At 40.9% G+C, this 19,792-nt stretch overlaps 1 long non-coding RNA gene across 1 annotated transcript in view, besides 1 other annotated feature; it reads right to left on the bottom strand.

Moving 5' to 3' along the window:
- Positions 1–2,053: 2,053 nt before the first annotated feature.
- Positions 2,054–19,792, bottom strand: part of LOC101927690 (uncharacterized) — a 36,979-nt gene continuing 19,240 nt past the window's right edge. The window contains exon 2 of the long non-coding RNA NR_135241.1: positions 2,054–4,092. This is a non-coding gene — a long non-coding RNA (uncharacterized LOC101927690). The remainder of the gene's footprint in view (positions 4,093–19,792) is intronic.
- Positions 18,766–18,935: an enhancer, noted in NCBI's record as "experimental_34296 CRE fragment used in MPRA reporter constructs". NCBI's record gives its function as "activates a minimal promoter by MPRAs in K562 erythroleukemia cells, with activity observed for both the introgressed and non-introgressed 14:57001231 variant alleles {active_cell/tissue: K562}" and the evidence as "EXISTENCE:reporter gene assay evidence [ECO:0000049][PMID:34662402]".

The following is a 19,792-nucleotide window of genomic DNA, read 5'->3' as shown; positions in this document are numbered from 1 at the left end:
TCCTTCCAGAAGAGGAAACAGATTTAGCAGAAAAAGATTGGGTTTAGGGACTGGCAAATGGAATGCACTGTCTGTGACCTTGACTCAACCTTAAGATGATCATAGCCACTTGCAAGTTGATTTTAAGGGTTATAAAGGATCTGTATAAAGCACCCAACACAATGGCTGGGGATAATAGTTGCTCAATAAATGTAAGTGCAATCAATTCTCCTGTATCAGGGCTTGCTGTAACCCAGGTGTTTTCAACCTTAGCAACTGCACATCAGAAACAGCTGGGGGACCTTTAAAAATTCCTGATGCCCCCAGGCCATACCTCAGACCGAGTACATTATATATCTCTGAAAGGGTGAATGGGGACGCTCTTAAAACCCCCAGGTGGTTCTAACACCCAGTAGCTGAAGTTGAGACCACTGACCTAAGTGTAGTGAAGGAGCAGTCACTTCTTTGGGGCTTAGGAATAGGCACCAGCTAATTAGCCTCCCCTAAGGATGGCAGGGAGAGAGGGAGGATGGTGAGAAGCTTCCCACCCTCATGCACATCCCCAAGGCGTGTCTTCTCTCTTCTCGCCCTGCAGGGGACAGCAATCTGCTAGCAATCAGTGCTAATCAGTTTCCTCCTAGTTACAGAGCTATCCTGGGGTTGTCAGGACAGTGCCATCCCTCCGGATATTTGAGCATAGATTACTTTGTGTTATTTGTGATTTGTGTTTATCTACCTTCTCCTTAACCCAGTATGATTACTTTATTATTACCACCCACATTTTCCAGGGGTTCACCAATCTGTGAAATTGAATGGGGTCACATGAATAAAACAGCCACCGGAAACACTCATCTGATATTCAGTTCCTGGCCAGCTCACCCCACAAGTGTGTCTGTTTCCTGGGGTGTGCCTTGTGTGTTCTTGAACAAATCCAGTCAGTTACCATGCTGATTCTATAACACCGTATCCATGAGATGAAACTATCTCATAGGATGGTGAACAATTAAAATAACATGCGTAAAGTACACTAGCTTAGTGCGGGGAGCAAAGTTATGTTTTTAATAAATATTATGGTTTTACAATTAACAGGTGGCACCTGCTGGGCTTGACCATCCCTGACAGGCACTGCCTTTGTCAGACACTACAATCCCTTCCTGATGCTATTTTTTCTCATCATATTGCTTCTGCACAGGGCTCCTGTCATTGTCTGGAGACCATGCTGTGGAAGCTGCATAAGAATTTGTGGCAAAGGGGGGCAGAGTCCCAACCTTTTGTGAGACTCGTTACAGAGGTCCCCAGCAGTACAACTGGGGCCCTGAAGTTTCGCTGAGCTTTTACATCCTTCCTTTTTTTCCCTCTAACCCAAGCCTAAGTGCCCACCCCGTACTCAGAATCATTCTGCCCATTATTCCTGAAATGTTGCTGCCAGATTACGCTCACTGGCCTGACTCCCCACTTCCTCTTAGGAGACACTTGGTGGGCTGCTGCACTAGGTCATTAGACATTGCTAGATGTAGCTGAGTCTCTGCAAGGAGCACAACCTGGGCCCAGGCTGGGGCATTGATACGCTTTCCTACAGTGAGGGGAGCAGGGCCTTTGCGAGGTACTGGTTTGCACTTACCACCCACACCTTCATCCACTACCAATTGATGAACAATTTCTGTCATTTGGTAGGTGATGGATGCCAGACCCAGTTATGCCCTCATTAAATTCTGTTTGAGGAGAAACATGATTTATAGGAAGGAATAGTTAAACACATTTAGCACTGCATTTAAATAAGGGCTATAAAGATATAGAGTATAACAGCTACAGAAAAACGCAGAAGAAACAGATATTGGGAGTCAGCTTGGCATGGATTTGTCAGAAGAGACTTTCTAGATGAGATAGATCTAAGAAAATATTTGAAATAAGAGCTGTGGTGTCCCAAGGGAGGGGAAAGGTTGGGAATGTCAGATCAGGGTGCAGGCAAAATAGAGGTACATTGTCTGGAGAGAATTTAAAAACAAAACTAACTAAAAGTCAGTTCGCTTTTTATTATCACCATACACCAGAAATTCTAGACAATAAAAGACCATTCCGGTAGTACTTCATTTATTGGTTTAGTAATTCTCAGCAAACACAATGAGTTGGTGACTTAGACATAGAGAAATCAGTAAGCTATTTGACCTCCCATTGCTCCTATCAAATAAATTAAGAATGTATTTTTAATCTCCCACCTCATGCGATTCCTAAGAGTCTGGTACTTTCTGGAAAGTCCTTTTGGAAGTCCTTTCTGAAACACGCAGTGTTTGGCAAAGACCAAGTCATTTATTCCAATTTAGAATGAAAATAGGAAGTCAGAGAGAGGATTATGGTCATAAACAATATTTGGGGAATGGGCAGTGGGTCTAGAAACTTAGAATTCTACTTCAATCATTACGTTTATGGCTCCCCTACATAAAACCACTGTCCCAACCAAAAGCAGGCAGCCCGTGGTTTTGTGGATGGCCAGGTTGTAGACTGCATGAGAGCAGGAAGTCTTTTCTTTACTCTGCTCACTGATAGAGCTGTGGGGGCCAAGAGAGAGCTTTCCCTTTGGCCCTCTGAAAGTTTGTGGAAAAATCAACTCACAAAAGGCAGACTAGAGAAAAGGCATGCAAATTTCTTTAATGTGTATACACAGGAGCCTTCAGAATGAAGACTCAAGGATAACAGAGGAACTGTCCATTTTTATGCTTAGGTTCAACAAAGTCTGGACAATTGTGTCGAAATATGATTGGGCAGAAAGGGTAACATCTAATGCTAGCTATAGACTGAGCTGGGAAGCCCAGCAAGGCCTGTTTAGATTCTTCTTGGCTTCTCTGAGAATGCATTTCCTCCTTCTCTGGAATGGCAGCCTAATGACCTAAACAAGGTAAGTCAGATAATTTCTTTATGGCCAGTTTTTACATAGAAAGGCAGAGGGAAAGTTAGAGTAAGGCTTTTTTAGGTTTTATGGCTGGCTTTGGGGAAAGGGGGTTCTGGTTTCTATGACCTGCCTTGCGGGAGAAAGGAACTGAGGGATAAGAGAGCAGGAGAAGGTCAGAGATAAATGTTTGCTTCTGAGGCTGCTTCTGAGTTTTTCACTTTGGCATATTGTTATCTGAGCCCCAACATACCCGAAGCACCTGGATAAGTAGTTGGCAAGAGGAGATGGTCAATACACATTCGTTGTGTCAGGGAAAAATCAATAGTTCAAGTGATCCAAACTCAGGTTAAAGGCTTCATTCAACTGATGGGAATCTAGATCTGAAGACCTAGAAACTCCCCAAGATGAAGCAGTATTGGGGGTCTCAAAGATTGAGAAGAGTGGGGGCCTGTCCTTGTGGTCTGGTGGAGGTTGCAATTTTCTGTATCTCTAACTGCTGTACAATCTGCCTTTGGAACAGCTGGAGATTGCTCTGGGTTTTTTATGCCTCCTGCTTGGGAGCACTGGAGCAATCTCATTCCAGTAACTGTCAGAACTGTTCTTTCAAGAGCTGTTTTTATAAGCATGTGGGTTGTCTGTTAGTCAGGGTTCACGGAAGGGGAGGTAACAAAAAAAAGTAGGGGGTGGGGCAGGGGTGAAAAAAGAAAAAGGAAAAAGGAGGCAAGGGTTGAAGCCAGAAAAACCGAGGTCTATTTTAATCCTTTTATAGTGAATGAATGAATGAACGAGCCCCTTGCCTTTCTCCTGCTGAGCCATGAACTGGGAACCTGGAAGGTTGCTAGAAATATTTAAGACACATTAATTTTTTTGGATTCATACACGTAAAATCTGCTGCTGCTAAATGCCCCTCGAGAGCTCTGGCCTCACATGGGAGACTTGCTACTGCTTTCGTTTCCAAAGCCTCTGTTTTAGCAGTCGTGGTAAATTAAAGTCAGATTCACCGCAGGCATTTTAACATCTCTTGAATGATGAGATCAGGACTTGGGGTCCTCACTGCACACTTCAAATGGACGGCCAAGAGGGAGCAAATCAGCCAAGTTCCACCGCGTTTTAAATGTGGTCTAATTCTGCGTTTGTATGCAACTTCCATGTGTTCTGGGGGCACAGCCTGCACTTCTGGTCTGGACCCATTGTCTTGGAAATGTATGTCCTGTTCATAAGAGATGCTGAGAAAGATGAAGTAAATAGATTAGGGCGAGGCCAGTACTCCAGAGAAAAGCACCTTAAAGGCAGTGCTGGTGCTATGTCAGCATTGTCACCTTTAATAGGAAAGGTGCTTCACGTAGGTTTCAAAGGTATTCAGTTTATAATTAGGACTGTGCTGAGGGAATTGGGGAGGAGAAGGAAGTAAGGCAAAATGCTATTTTACTTATTGAGAGAACTTTAAACCATACAGTTCTTTCCTTTTTCAAAATACTTGTTGAGCTGAATGAATCTTGATCGCTTGTCAATCTTCCATTTAGTGGTGTGGAAGTTGGCTTGCACTGGCTCATGTGTGCCAAGTGTGGGCATCCCACTTCACATTCATTAATGTTTGATTGGTAGTTTTAAGTCAGCCATGGTGGGAGTATTTGTGGACATTGACAAATGCTACAAATCAGGCTCCCCATCCCAGGAGCTGGTTTTTACCAGCATACCTCTGCCCCAATTCATCTTTCATGAACCAGCTTGCTACCTATTTTCTCATAAAGCTTCAACTGACAACTCCAACCCAACAGTGATTTCCTGCTTGACATGAGCTGAGAGCACTTATACCAGCTATTCCACTTATTTGACACTTAAGCAATTTACTGTGCCTTTGGTTATTGACTTAGTGTTATCTTCTTAACAGACCACCATTTAATGTTTAATGATTCTTCATGTAAAGTGTAAGCTCCATGAGGGCAGGGGCCATGTATTATGCATCTATGTATAGACTCCCATGGGGTTTGACAGAATGAAAACAAATGGCAGGTGCTCAAACTGATATGTGCTAAAGAAATGAGTTATCGCAGGGGTCCTCAATTCCCTGGCCATGGACCTGTACTGGTCCTTGGCCTGTTAGGAACTGGGCCGCACAGAGGGACATGAGCAGCACGTGAGGGAGCATTACCACCTGAGCTCCACCTCGGGGTCATTTCAACAGTGGCATTAGATTCTCTTAAGAGCATGAATCCTGTTGTGAACTGCACATGCGAGGGATCTAGGCTATGTGCTCCTTATGAGAATCTAACTGATGCCTATGATCTGATGCCAAACAGTTTCATCCCAAAACCATCCCCCCGACCCCTCAGCCTATGAAAATATTGTCTTCCACTAAACTGGTCCCTGGTGCCGAAAAGGCTGGAGACCGCTGAGTTATTGGGTAATTAATATATTAGGTGCTGGAAAACCTGGGCATTTGAATGGAACGTGAAATATATTTTGAAATAAGTAAAACTGTATTTTTGGAAAACAATTAAAATTAACCATATAGCCATAGGTAATGCCACTTCCACCTTGTTGATCACTGAACTGGCTTATGGTTTTTGGAGGCTTTGGCATGCCTTTTGTGCTAGTGCCAGCTTTGCTTACTTGTGAAATCTGAAAATTGATGCGCGGTTTGCTTATGGCACATGTCCTTCAACACTGCAGCCAGTCACAGGCAAAGACAATAAGGCAAAGAATGCCACAAGGTACCGTCTTTTTAATCTGCTGTCTTGCTAATCAATTTGTAAATGGCCATCAAATCTTTTCTCTGCTACTAATTGAAAAACGGATATAAATCATAATCTATATTCCCTGCCTAACTTCACATATAGTGATGGTTTCTACTGAACATTTTTGGGGTCAAGATGTATCTTAATACCAAGAACTAAACTCCACACATAATGTACCAGTAATGGATACATGTGTTTTTAAATATTTGTTTTAATACTAATGTCAGATTATTTAGGCCCAATCCATTCTGTTGATTGGACCTAGTATAAGTGGAAGGATAAAGATTTCTATCCCTACATTAACACATTTTATGGGTTGCAAAGCCACTTTTTTGCCACTAAAACATAAGGTCATGAACTAATAGAATCCTCACTTTCTGAGGGTTTCATTTGGCTTAAAAAAAAAACAGTTTTAGAAAAATTAATCTGCAGAATAGGCTTGTAAAAGTAAATAAGTCATCTGAATTTTATAAAATGTTGCTCTCAAACCAATATCTGTTCCTCAAAACATTTATGTTAAATGGGATAGAAGTAAATGTCGAGAAGCACTCTGCTCAAAGCTATTTACATAAATGTGCTGTCACAGATTATAGTTAAGCGACTTGAGGCAATTCTTCCCCCCACCCCCAAAAAAAGGCTAAAAGAAAAGACTTTTGGTTCTCTTCATATCCTTTTCCCCCCCCAGATAACTAAAATTCCTTATGGTCATTAGTAGTTATAATACTATGTGATTTGCTGTTACTGATTTCACCGTTCAGTTCATTTTTCCTTCTATCATGTGAGTCTTCTCTATCCATCGTTTTTACATCAGTAAATGACAGTCTTGTGGATTTAAAAAAAAAAAATCAGGAAAATAATATAATTAGGACCCTGTTTTTAAAAGTAGGACCATTCCCTCTCCTCTCTGCCCAGATCCTGCAAACTTCCTGCCTGACACCAAAGTTTTCTCCTTTTTTTTCTCCTCATTTCCAGTATTTTATTGTATTCTACTAATTTCTTGTTTCTCCAGAATGGCCCATTTAGTCTTCCTTCGGGGCAAAATCAGATGAAGTGAGAGCTGGAGAATCAGGCCTAAGCAGAGTGACCTCACCCATTTCCTCACCTGTCCCTCTCTCTGCTGTTCAGGCTCCTGGCAGGTGATTTAGGACTCACAGTCCCGGACAAACAGAGTTTATCTCCCAAAGAAAATCCTGAACCAGCTGTCTCTTTGCTTTGGTGTATTTCCTTTGAATTGTGCCAGGATGAACATATTGCAAACTCTTTCCAACCTAAGTGGGAAAAGGCTACTGTAGGGGCATTACCAGAGCTGAAGCCACAAGGCTACAAGTTTTAGGTGACCCCAGAATCTATTTGTCCATGCAGGAACTTAGTAAACACTGGGTTTTACTTTTCAAGAAAAAGGAAACTTTTTTTCTTTTTTGAGACTGAGTCTCGCTCTGTCGCCCAGGCAAGAGTGCAGTGGCACGATCTTGGCTCACTGCAAGCTCCTCCTCTAGGGTTCAAGTGATTCTCCTGCCTCAACCTCTGGAGTAGCTGGGACTATAGGCGCCCACCACCACGACTGGCTAATTTTTTGTATTTTTAGTAGAGATGGGGTTTCACCCTGTTAGCCAGGATGGTCTTGATCTGCTGACCTCGTGATCCACCCGCCTCGGCCTCCCAAAGTGCTGGGATTACAGGCGTGAGCCACCACGCCCAGCGAAAAAGGAAACTTTTTAAAATGCTATTTTCCGCAATTAAATCATGAAGATAAAGAGGCTTCCTATGATTTGTTCAAGGAACTTGGTATTGTTGTTTCTCTTTGAATTGTTAAGCAGCACAAGTTTTCTCTTTTCTTCCCTGAAAGCATCTCTTCTCAGTCCTTTGCTCTCTAGTCTCACTGCCCAGAGCATTTTCTTTCTTCTGTTCCTATGGGGCCATCTGTATCTCATCTTATATTAAAAGCCACCCTCCATATACCACCTGAGGGGTCTTTCCAAAACAGAAATTTTGTTTTTTCACTCCTCAAAACTTTTCAACGTTTAAGTCCTAGCTCCTCAAAATGGCAATCAAGGGCCTGATCCCTTGAGAAAGTGAAAAGCAACTGCATTGATGCCCCAGCTGAACATAAACTACGCTCACAGCACAAGGATCAGACAAGTTCCCTCCATGACCCTGTCTGAAGCAGCAGAGACAAGGATACCCTGCAACCACAAAAGTGACTACAACCCTCCCCCTCTCCCAGCTAACACAAAAGACTTTGCTATTGATGACACTAGCCCCACTTTAATTATTCTATCTCCTAAATCAAATTATTAAATACCCAATTACTGAATTGTCTCTGTTCTTGATGGCGCTCAATCCAGAATGGGCCTGCACTTTTTTAAACCTTAGAACCACTCAGCAAAAGCACAAGTCCCATAATAAGGCCTTCCCAACTCCATCTTACTGAGCTGCTCCACAAACTTTCTGCCATTTATTCTCTCTTGATACAACAAGCTAAATACTTTTACCTTTTCAGCCTAGAAGTGGATTATTGGCAGTTTTGGTCTATTGCCTTTAATAAAATATCTTTCCCCCACAGTGCATGCTCCAGTCATACCAAGACCATGTAAGTTTCCCAGACATACATGTTTTGGTCCTACAGAAGTACCTTTGGTTTGTAGGACATTTTCTTCCTTTTTCCACATAGAAAAATTTTATTTTTCAAAACCCAATTCACATTTTAACTCACATGTGAATACATCCAAGAATCTACTCATAGAATTGGGTCAAGTTTCCACTGTCTCGTGTTAACTCTGAGCTGGAGCCTATAGTGTAGAGGCTTAATGCATATGAACGTGGAAATCAGAGAAGACCTAATTCCTCCTGCCTTTGACAATGTACAACCTTAAGAAGCTCACTTATTACTCACATCTGGCAGAACTGGCAAATGCCATTTCCCTCCATCAATTCTACTCAATCATTACTACCCATTGACAATAAAGCAACTGCACACATATCACGATCCTGGGGCAGAGAGAAACATATCTTTTTCTTATTGGAAGTTTAATAGGGCAATGCCTAAGACTGCTAAATAAACCATGTTTATTTCTTTTGCTTCTTTGCTTCTCTAGTTTATAAACTAGGACTTACCAACTTGATTTATTCTGGAGCGTGGTGGGTGAAATATTTAGATAAATTGGCTCTTAAGAGAGAGAGGGAGTGGAGGATTGTCTGAGGATTAGGTCTAGGTCTCAAGCCTCAGACTCTGTCCTGACCACAGAGTGCTCTCCATCTGGAAATCTGTGATAATACCACCTTCCTCTAAGGGTCAATGGGATGAGACAGATGGAATTTCTCAATCAGTGGTTATCAACTGGTGATGTATACTAGAATCACCTGAAGAGTTTTAAAAACATACTCACGCCTGGGTTTCACCCCTCTAAATTCTGGAGTGAGGCCTAGGTACTGGCAATTTTTTAAAACTCCATGGATGATTCTAAAGCAACATCAGGAGTGAACACTGCTGATCTAGATAGAAGCAGAAAAGTTACTATAAAAACATAAAGCATTTCTCAGTGCTAGGGAATGGGTAATAGAAGAAGCAAGGAAATCTGTTTCCAATAAACAATGATTGACAAATAATCAAATTTTATGAAGACCCTAAGCACAACTTCATAAGGGCTGGACTCTCCCAAACAAAAAGGAAGTAAATGGTGGTTAGATTCACTGTGAAATTCAGGCTGTAGAAATTTAAAACATTAACAAATTTGGAAATGTATACTGTTGCACAGATCAGGGAATATTGAAATGAAATGGGGCCAGAAGCTAATTATATGGAAATATTTCTATTTGCACATTTCTCCAGAAGGCAAAGTAGAGATTGCAACCAATATATCTATACAAATGACAAGAATATTAAGTTTTCTATCATTCCCTTAGTACACTACCTTTCTCAGCATGTATTCTGTCCTAGTTCTTGCAAAGGTGAGAATAATATCAAACTCATTAATTGTCTACATTTTAGAATATGATGTGACTTTAGTGGATGGTGTTAATTAAACTACAAAACAACTCCTCTTGCTGTGGTGTGCATTCCAAGTTAGAGCAATTAATTCACTCACTTAAACTGATCAAGATTTAATTACCATCACTCTGTGCAATTACTCCATAATTAAAGTAATTTGGTTCATTCCACTTGCTGACAGTGTCATTGAACAGCCATTCACAGAAGCAAAAGAAGTGATAATTAACTTAAAGAATAGCTCAGGGCAGTTTTACCCAGACAAGTTCACTGTTAGTTATTCCTAAAATACCTAGAATGAGGTAAAGTGTGGAGAGAAAATCCTGGGAGAATTTTAAAACAAAAATAATCATAAAATAAACAACAATTTAGGGGGGGTTTTGCCTCCCCAAAATAAGGTCCCTAAAAGCTTATGAATTTCTTAGCAGTTTAAATGGTCGTGGTTGCCATCATTATAACCTAACCATAAATTAGTGTGATGGGCAAAACAAACAGAACTTGAAAAAAATTAAGCACTTAAATATTGGTTAGGGCTAATTACTGTGGGGGATTAGCGCCTATTTGCGGGTTGGTAGGTGTGGTACAAATATACTGGTACAAAAAGAACACTCAGAATCTTCAGAGAAGAACTGAATAGGTGTTTAAGAATTGCAAAATCCAAGTTTGGAAAAAGCTTTTGGAAACTGCATGTACGCACACACACAAACACACACATACACATGGGCCACACTCATGACAGCCATGGAAATGAGCAGTTGCCTGTGTTTACCTGTAGAATTATAGAATTTACCTGTACAGTAGTTAATTGACTAGTTCCCCAACCAGCAAAATACAGAAAGATTAGCTTAGGAATTCTGGAATTCTTTTTTTTAATTTTCCTTTTTTTTTTTTTTTTTGAGATGGGGCTGTTACCCAGGTTGGAATGCAGTGGCACAATCATGGTTCATTGCAGCCTCGAACTCCTGCGCTCAAGCAAGCCTCCCACCTCAACCTCCAGAGTGGCTGGAACTGTAATCCCACACCACCACACCAGGCTAATTTTGAAAAGTCTTTTTGTAGAGATGTGGTCTCCTTACTGTGCCCAGGCTGGTCTCGAACTCCTGGGTTCAAGCCATCCTCCTGCCCTTGCCTCCCAAAGTGCTGGGATTATAGGAGTGAGCCACTGTGCCTGGCAGAGTTCTGGAATTCTGATAGAGCACTAATGACAAATACTAGAGCAGATCCTAGGCTATGGATAGGAGTGGGTGGAGTAGATTTGCCTAGGATCACAGGTCTAGAGAGTGAGAGAGCCGAGGCTGAAACTCTCATCTCCCCACATGGTGCACTCAGAGGCAAATTGTATTGAACTGAAGAGACTGAATTAAATGAGGTTTTGGGGGACAGGACCAGATAGAACCTAAAGTGGCCTTCATACTAAAGGGCCAAGCACAGCTTATAGCAGCTCTGCTGGGACTTGGGAATAGTTCCTGACAGTCCTGCTTCTAAGGGAGCTACTCACAGAGGCAACAACCTTCCATTACACTCGGGGGAAAACAATAGCTTTTGAAGGGTGGTCCTCTAGCATCAACCTGCTGAGCATGCATGATACCTGGGGCAGCTTCTCCTGCTGAACCCTATGCATGGAGTTGGGGAGATGGTAAGAGGTGTCATATCCTCTGCCATTTTCTGAACATTATTTAGATGTAACTTGGAAATTTCCACCTTTAGCAATGTATCTTATGAAGCCTGTCAAAGATGCCAAGATTGAGGCCTCCTTTCAGGTGCAATTGACTTGGGTCCACACTGGCAGAATTGCCTTGGGAACAGAGCTCTTCCAGGGAAGCCCTGCCCACATCTGCATCATTATACTCATAAGAAAACCAGATGGCCCAAACATCTTCCTTCAAATACTGACAACAAGGAGGCCGTGGGGATTTGCCCAAGATCACAGGTCTAGCTTGTGCCAGAGCTGGATCTGAAATTCCCATCTCAAGTCAGCCTAGATAAACCATAGAGTTCTTACCGGGCAATTACTAATATAAACTATGGCATGAATGGCTCTCCATTAATCAAAGCATTATGTATTTCCCCATTCATGATATTTCCATGTATACTTAGAAATTAACAATGCATTGCTCAGCCCTTACTCTTTTTTCTCTCCAGATCTCATTTGAAAATATTAGAAGAGGCATGATTTAACATATTGTTCAAGGGATAAGACATATTCCTTCAGAAGATTTTTACTCACAAATTAGTAAGTCATCTATACGTCATTAAAGGTATTTCCCGAATATAATGAAAAAGATTGTAATAATAATATATATAATGATAAAAAAACATTTGTAAATAGTATAATGTCACAATGATCAGGATGATAGAATTTCATAGCTAGATGTGATTGTAGGAATCAGCCTAACAATGTAAATTCATATATAAGGAAGGACACAGATGCCTAGGGAGGTTATGTGATTTGCCAAAGGCCAGGTGCCTAATGAATGGCAGAGCTAGACCCAAATTTCCTCATTCTCATCCAGGAAGCAGTTTAGAAGGTCACAACCTTTCTTAGCACAGATATTTCAATAGAACATAAGACTTTCTGAGCTTTCCAAGGAAATCCACCCAGGCTTCTGCAGGTAAGGGGTGCTATGGTGTTAAGGGCAGAGGCTCTGGAGCCAGATCACCTGCTCTAGATCCCAGGCCCACCACTTACTGATCTCTCTGTACTTCAGTTTTGCCACATGTAAAAAGGGGATAATGACAGTACCTCCTTGTAGAGTTATTGTTGGCTTAAATGAGTCAATTCAAGGAGAGGACTTAGAAGACTATCTCGTCCATCTAACTCAATGGCTATTACTATTCTTACCACACCTTAGCCATGAGAGGCTGTCTCAGCAGTTGTGTCCATCCTCTGTTCTGTTCAGCCTGTTGTTGGACCTCCAGCTCAATCCAATGTGGCTGTTTTCTAGCCCAGACACTTGAGCTTCTAAAGGGTCTGATACTTCCGGGTTGGAATGCACTGTAGTAGGAAAATGGGCCAAACAGAATCCTGCCATCTTGAATTGGCTTACTCATAAAATCATTAACCCAGATCTGCAGACATAGCCAAAACCTCAGGCAGTTTTTTCCATTCTTACTGGAAAACTATTGTTGCTGTCTCTCCAAACTTCTCACCACCAATCTTATTTGCATCCTCTAGCTAATGAATTCTCTCCATGGAATCCTAGTGGACTTTCCACCACAATTTACTTGAGTTTCAAATATTATTTTCTGTTGGGTACAAAGGCAAAATTCTCATTTAAATAAGTTGTTTTCATGTTTTAAAAGTACATGCATGTCTGTGTGAGTGTGTGTGTGTGTGCACACCAATGTGATACAGTGCACAAGTGGCACAGTGTGCAAGAGCGCTGAAGTAAGAATTTGAGAAACTATTTCTGATCCTGATTTATTCCCAAGTGGCTGTGTAAGCTCGAGCAAGTTACTGGCCTCTCTGGTCCTTAGCTGAGTCAATTCTAAAGCGAGGAGGTTGGGTGAAAAGCCTTCTATATTAGGGTTCTCCAGAGAAACAGAACCTTGTTCTATATTCAGACCGTATTCCAAACCTTATTCACAGCCTATTCAAACCCTGTGTGTGTGAATGTGTGTGCATACATAGCTTATATATGGAATTAGTTCATGCCATTATGGAGGCAGGGTGAGTCAGCAGGTTGGAGACCCAGGAGAGCTGACATTGTAGTTCCGGTTCAAAGGCCAGGAGGCTCAAAACTCAGGAAGAGCCAATATTTTTAGTCCAAAGGCAGAAAAAAAGCCAATTTCTCAGTTCAAAGGCATTCAGGAAGGAAAAGTTATCTCTTACTCAGGGGAGGGTCAGCCTTTTTGTCTATTCTGGCCTTCAGCTGTTTGGATGAGGTCCACCCACATTGGAGAAGGCAACCTGCTTTACTCAGTCTACTGATTTAAATGTTAATCTCATCCAAAAACACCCTCATAGAAACACCCAGAATAATATCTGACCAAATATCTGGGCATCCTGTGATCCTGTGGTCTAGTCAAGTTGGTACATAAAATTAACCATCACACCTTCTGGGATCCCTTCCAATTTAAACCCTTATTATATAAAATCCTACTTAACACTAGTGTACAGACAAAAGTCTCTTCTGTAAGTGGAAGCAGTGCTGTCTCCATGGCTATTCCCTAAGTGCAGGAAGCCTAACAACTGCTGTAAGAGAGGTGCATGTAAACTGTAGTAGAACAGAAAAGAAGAAGCCCATTGTTCGGACTGCGGCTCTCTTCACCAAATGTGTACACAGCTTAGCGGCAGGAAATATTCTCTTTGTCTTATAGTAGCCACTAAATAATAACTGCTTATTAAACTGAAAGATATAAAAAGAGTGATAATTGGATAGGCTGGGGAAAACAAACATTTCAAAATATTGAGCATAATATGAAATTAATCAGGTCAGCAGGATGAGAAGTTATATAGGGGAAAAAGTTAGAAAGTCTGGCGAGTAATGACCAGTCCAAATTGAGATACAGGCACACCTCAGAAATAACTGTGAGTTTGGATCCAAACTACCACAGTAAAGCAAATATTGCAATAAAGGAAGTTGCACAAATTTTTCATTTCCTAATGCATATAAAAGTTATTTTTATACTATACTGCAGTATATTAAGTATGCAATAGCATTATGTCTAAAAATGTACATAATTTTAAAATATTGATACAAGAAACTAACAATCATCTAAACCTTCAGCAAGTCATAGTCTTTTCCATTGGAGGGTCTTGCCTTGATGTTGATGGCTGATGACTGATCAGGGTGGTGGTTGCTAAAGGTAGGGTGGCTATGGCAATTTCTCAAAATAAGACAAGAATGAAGTTAGCTACATCGATTGACGCTTCCTTTCATGAAAAATTTCTCTGTGGCATGTAATAGTGTTTGATAGCATTTTACCCACAGTAGAACTTCTTTCAAAATTGGAGTCAATCCTCTCAAACCCTGCTGCTGCTTTATGTTGATGCAATTAAGTTGATGTAATACTCTAAATCCTTTGTTGTCATTTCAACAATGCTCACAGCACCTTCACCAGGAGTAGATTTCATGTAAAGAAACCACTTTCTTTGCTCATCCATAACAAGCAACTTCTCATTCATTCAAGTTTGATTATGAGATTGCAGCAATTCAGCCACATCTTCAGGCTCTACTTCTAATTCTCTTGCTATTTCTACCACATCTGCAGTTACTTCCCTCACTGAAGTCTGGAATCCCTCAAAGTCTCCAGGAGGGTTGGAATAAAATTCTTCCAAATGTCTGTTAATGTTGATATTTTGACCTTCTGCCATGTATCATGAATGTTCTTAATGGCATCTAGAACGGTGAATCCTTCCCAGAAGACTTTCAATTTACTTTGCCCAGATCCATCAGTGGAATCACTATAAGGGCAACTATAGCCTTATAAAAATGTATTTCTTAAGTAATAAGACCTGCAAGTTAAAATTAGTCCTTGATTTATGGGCCACAGAATGGATGTTGTGTTAGCGGGCATGAAAACCATATTCATCTCCTTGTACATCTCCATTAGAGCTCTGGGGTGACCAAGTGCAATGTCATCAATAAGCAGTAATATTCTGAAAGGATTTTTTTTTCTTTGCAGCAATTCTTAACAATGGGCCTAAAATATTCAATAAACCATGCTGTAAACAGATGTGCTGCCATCCAGGCTGTTGCCCCATTTATAGAGTACAAAAAGAATAGAGTTAGCATAATTCTTAAGGACCCTAGGATTTTCAGAATGGTAAATAAGCATTGGTTTCTGCTTAAAGTCACCAGGTACATTAGCCCCTAACAAGAGAGTTAACTGTGAAGCCAGGCATTGACTTCTCTCTAGCTAGGAAAGTTCTCAAAGGTGTATTCCTCCAATAGAAGGATGTTTCATTTACATTAAAAATCTGTTCTTTAGTGTATCCACTTTCATTGATGATCTTAGCTAGATCTTCCTGGATAACGCTGCAGCTTCTATGTCAGCACTTTCTTCACCTTACACTTTAATATCATGTTTCTTTAAACCTCATAAACCAACCTCTGCTAGCTTCCAACTTTTGTTCTGCAGCTTCCTCACTTCTTTATTTTTTATTTATTTTTTTTTTTTGAGACGTAGTCTCGCTCTGTTGCCCAGGCTGGAGTGCCATGGCATCATCTCGGCTCACTGCAACCTCCACCTCTGAAGTTCGAGCTATTCTCCTGCCTCAGCCCCCCTAGTAGCTGGGATTACAGGCACGTGCCACCATGCCCAGCTAATTTTTTGTATTTTTAGTAAAGACAGGGGCTCACCATGTTGGCCAGGCTTGTCTTGAACTCCTGATCTCAGGTGATCTGCCCACCTCAGCCTCCCAAAGTTCTGGGATTACAGGCGTGAGCCACTGTGCCTAGACTGGAGTAGCACTTCTAATTTCCTTCAAGAAATTTTCCTTTGCATTTACAACTTGGCTAACTATTTGGTGCAAGAAGCCTAGCTTTCAGCTTATCTTGGCTTTTAACATGCCTTCCTCACTAAGCTTAATCATTTCTAACTTTTCATTTAAGAGATGTGTAACTCTTTCTTTCACTTAAACACTTAGAAGCCTTTATAGGATTATTAATTGGCCTAATTTCAATATTGCTGTGTCCCCAGGATAGGGAGTCCTGAGGAGAGGGAGAGAGACAGGGGAATGGCCATGAGTGGAGGAGTCAGAACACACACAACATGTATTGGTTAAGTTTCCATCTTACATGGCCACAGTTCCTGATGCCCCCAGACAATTACAATAGTAACATCAAAGATCACTGATCACAGATCATTTTAACAGATTTAATAACAAGGAAAAAGTTTAAAGTATTACAAGAATTACCAAAATGTGACACAGACATGAAGTGAGCACATGCTGTTGGAAAAATGGTGCTAATAGATTTGCTTGACACAGGATTGCCACAAACCTTCCATTTGTAAAAAAAAAAAAAAATCTAGTATCTGTGAAGTGCAGTAAAGCAAAGCACAATGAAATGCAATATGCCTGTATTCTGTAAGTATAAAATACACACTGGAACAGAGACTTAATATTTAAAAAGAATGTAAAATACCTCAATAATTTAAAAATACTGATTATGAGTCAAAACAAAATTATATTGGACATACTGGGTTAAGTATCACCTTAAAATTAATTTTATCTGTTTCTTCTTACTTTTTCAATGTGGTTACTAGTAAATTTAAAACTATATATGTGGTTCAAATTGGATTTCTATTGAAAAGTGCTATCATAGAACTTTGACAAAAGTCTCTAATGAAGTAGAAGATGGTAAAAATTGTTAATGAGAAGATATGGAAATCCTGAAAGGGAATGATGTGGTTACTTGAGTACACATATATACATTTTAGGAAAAAGTTTTTAAGAGTTACTAAAAGTACAGGTGTGCGGAATGTCTTTCTGTTAAATACTCATTAAGAGCTCATGTCCACTCAAGGATGCCAAAAAAGAGCCTATGAAGAACATATAGAATGAATATATCTTATTAATGGACTATGAGGCATTGTGCTTGGCACACTGAGGTTCAAAAACTTTATCCATCTCTTTACATCTCGTTGGCTGGAATTAGGTCATTAAACACAGCAAAGGATAATAGGATTATCCCAAGGACCCAGGGTAAAGAGTTCACCTTTCTTGAAATCAAGTCATCTCACCCATATACCTGAATGCAATTTGAGTTTTTAAGCAGGCAATAAAGGCGACAATTGCTGTATGTAACAATCAGTGCGTGTCACGGTGTCCGGGTTAAAAGATAAGTATACTTCACAGGATTCAACCTGATAGATCCCTTAACAGAAATATCATTCAGAAAGAAGAGGCAATGGGCTCATTCACATTTGATCATCATCTTCCCAAAAGCTTCAAACACAGACATGAATTTTAGTCTTGCTAGCATAGGATTCCAACAATAGGCATTTCTTGCTTTTATTTTAAATGATTTTTTTTTTTTTGAGACAGGGTCTCACTCTGTCACCCAGCCTGGAGTGCAGTGACACGATCACAACTTACTGTAGCCTCAACCTCCCAGGTTCATGCAATCTTCCACTTCAGTCCCCCTGAGGAGCTGGGACTACAGGCATGCGCCACCATGTCCAGATAATTTATTGTTTGTAGAGATGGGGTTTTGCTATGTTGCCCAGGCTGGTCTCAAACACCTGGACTCAAGTGATTCACCTCCTTGGCCTCCCAAAGTGCTGGGATTACAGGCGTGAGCCACTGCTCCCAGCCCAATATGCATTTCATTTAGACTTAGGTAAGGACAAAAATTGGTTTCAGATTGAAAAAGATACACATAAACATGATCCTCTCTCTGTCTCTCTCTCTCTCTCTCTCTCTCTCTCTCTTTCTCTCTCTCTCAATGCTACAACATGGGTATACCTTAGCACTTATTTTTTTACTGCAAGGGGGAAATAAGAGAGTAAGGAAGCTCAAGCCTCTTCTAAAATATAGGATTTTCTTGGATGGTGTATACTTCTGTCTACATTTGTAAAGGCCTGTAATAAACTACCACAAAGTTATGTCTTCCTCTGGTAACTGACTCAATTATGTCATCCCCTTGAGCATGGACCAAAGGACAGATTTATATCATAAAGCACTTGTCCTAGGTATATATTAGTCTATCTAACTCTTTTAGGAGGGCACTTTAGAAAAACAGAAAAGAGAGGATTCCACTGAATTGCTTCTTGAAGCTTTCTTGCACAAGAATGAGACACATTTAGTAATAGGTGGATGTGGACATAATTTATATGAACCTTGCACATTTAATACCATTAATTCTTCAAAACTAATAATATTAATTCATTCAAAAATGAGATTAAACCCAGGCACCCCTTGCAGCCATAATCCGTGACTGATGGCTCCGTGACGCCGGCAGCCCAGCACCGCCAGCAGAGCCCAGCAGAGCCATCAGTGCACGTGTGGCAAATTGCGATGCGAAGCCACCCGGGAGCTCCTGTCTTGAGTTAAAGCATCGTTGGGGAAGAAAACAAGATTGCTTGTCTCTCTGTTCACCTTGAATGTTATATTTTAGCAGCCAAACCAATGATTTATATTTAACACCAGCAGGGCAGGGTTACAAAATTATTTTTCTAAACAGCATTTAATGGAAATCAGCAGGTATAAAGAACCCAACCTGGCTCACAAAATGATGGTCGCTGCAGATGAGTTTATTTCTGACCATGTAAATCAGGTAGGGGCGTTGTTAAATGTAGCCGACCAAGAATAGAGTTATATGTTGCATGATGTCACTCTGAAGGACACCCACTTGTCCCTTGTCTTGTTTCCCTCTCTTGCTCAGTTTGCAATGTATTAACACTCCTACCTACCTTCCTCTTGTCTTTTCTCTACTTTTGTTTTGTTTTTTTGAGATAGAGTCTTGCTCTGTCCCCCAGGCTGGAGTGCAATGGCGTGATCTCGGCTTACTGCAACCTCCACCTCCTGGCTTCAAGTGATTATCCTGCCTCAGCCCCCCAAGTAGCTGGGATTACAGGTTTGTGCCATCACACCTGGCTAATTTTTGTATTTTTAGTAGAGATGGGGTTTCACCGTGTTGGCCAGGTGGGTCTCAAACTCCTGACCTCAAGTGATCCACCCACCTCGGCCTCCCAAAGTGCTGGGATTACAGGTGTGAGCCACTGAGCCCAGCCCTTTTCTCTACTTTTATACATTCTATAAACATTTACTGGGTGCCTACTATGAGTGAGGGATCTACTGGAGCTGGGCCCAGGAAGATTACTAGAAAATGGCAGTGTTTCCCATGGAGGTGCTTTCCAGTGGAGAGGTCATGGTACATGGAAAACAGTAGGCAGACAAACCAGAGTCAGGTAGCTCCAGTGTCTAGCTCCAGCTGGAATTAGAACTAGCTGCACGACCTTGACGCATGATTCAGCTTCTCTAAGCCCCGCTTTTCTCCTTCATAAAAAGAAGGTATCTACCAAATGCTTATAACGTTGTGGCAAGAATGAACTGAAAATATTCATACAACAATTAGTGCAATGCCTGGCAAATGGTTATTAGTTAATAAATAATAGCAAATGCTGTTGTTATTATCATATAAAGTACTCAGCAAAGTACATGTTGTGAATTAGACACCCAATAAATATTTACTCTCTTCTTCGGAAGTGGTGAAGTGGGAGAAATTTGTTTTGGCACATTCTCTCTTCTGTGCC

The sequence above is a fragment of the Homo sapiens genome, chromosome 14 (genome assembly GCF_000001405.40).
Source record: "Homo sapiens chromosome 14, GRCh38.p14 Primary Assembly".
NCBI lineage: Eukaryota > Metazoa > Chordata > Mammalia > Primates > Hominidae > Homo > Homo sapiens.
Note: the sequence above shows the minus strand (reverse complement) of the source record. Positions and strands in the feature narration are given on the sequence as shown.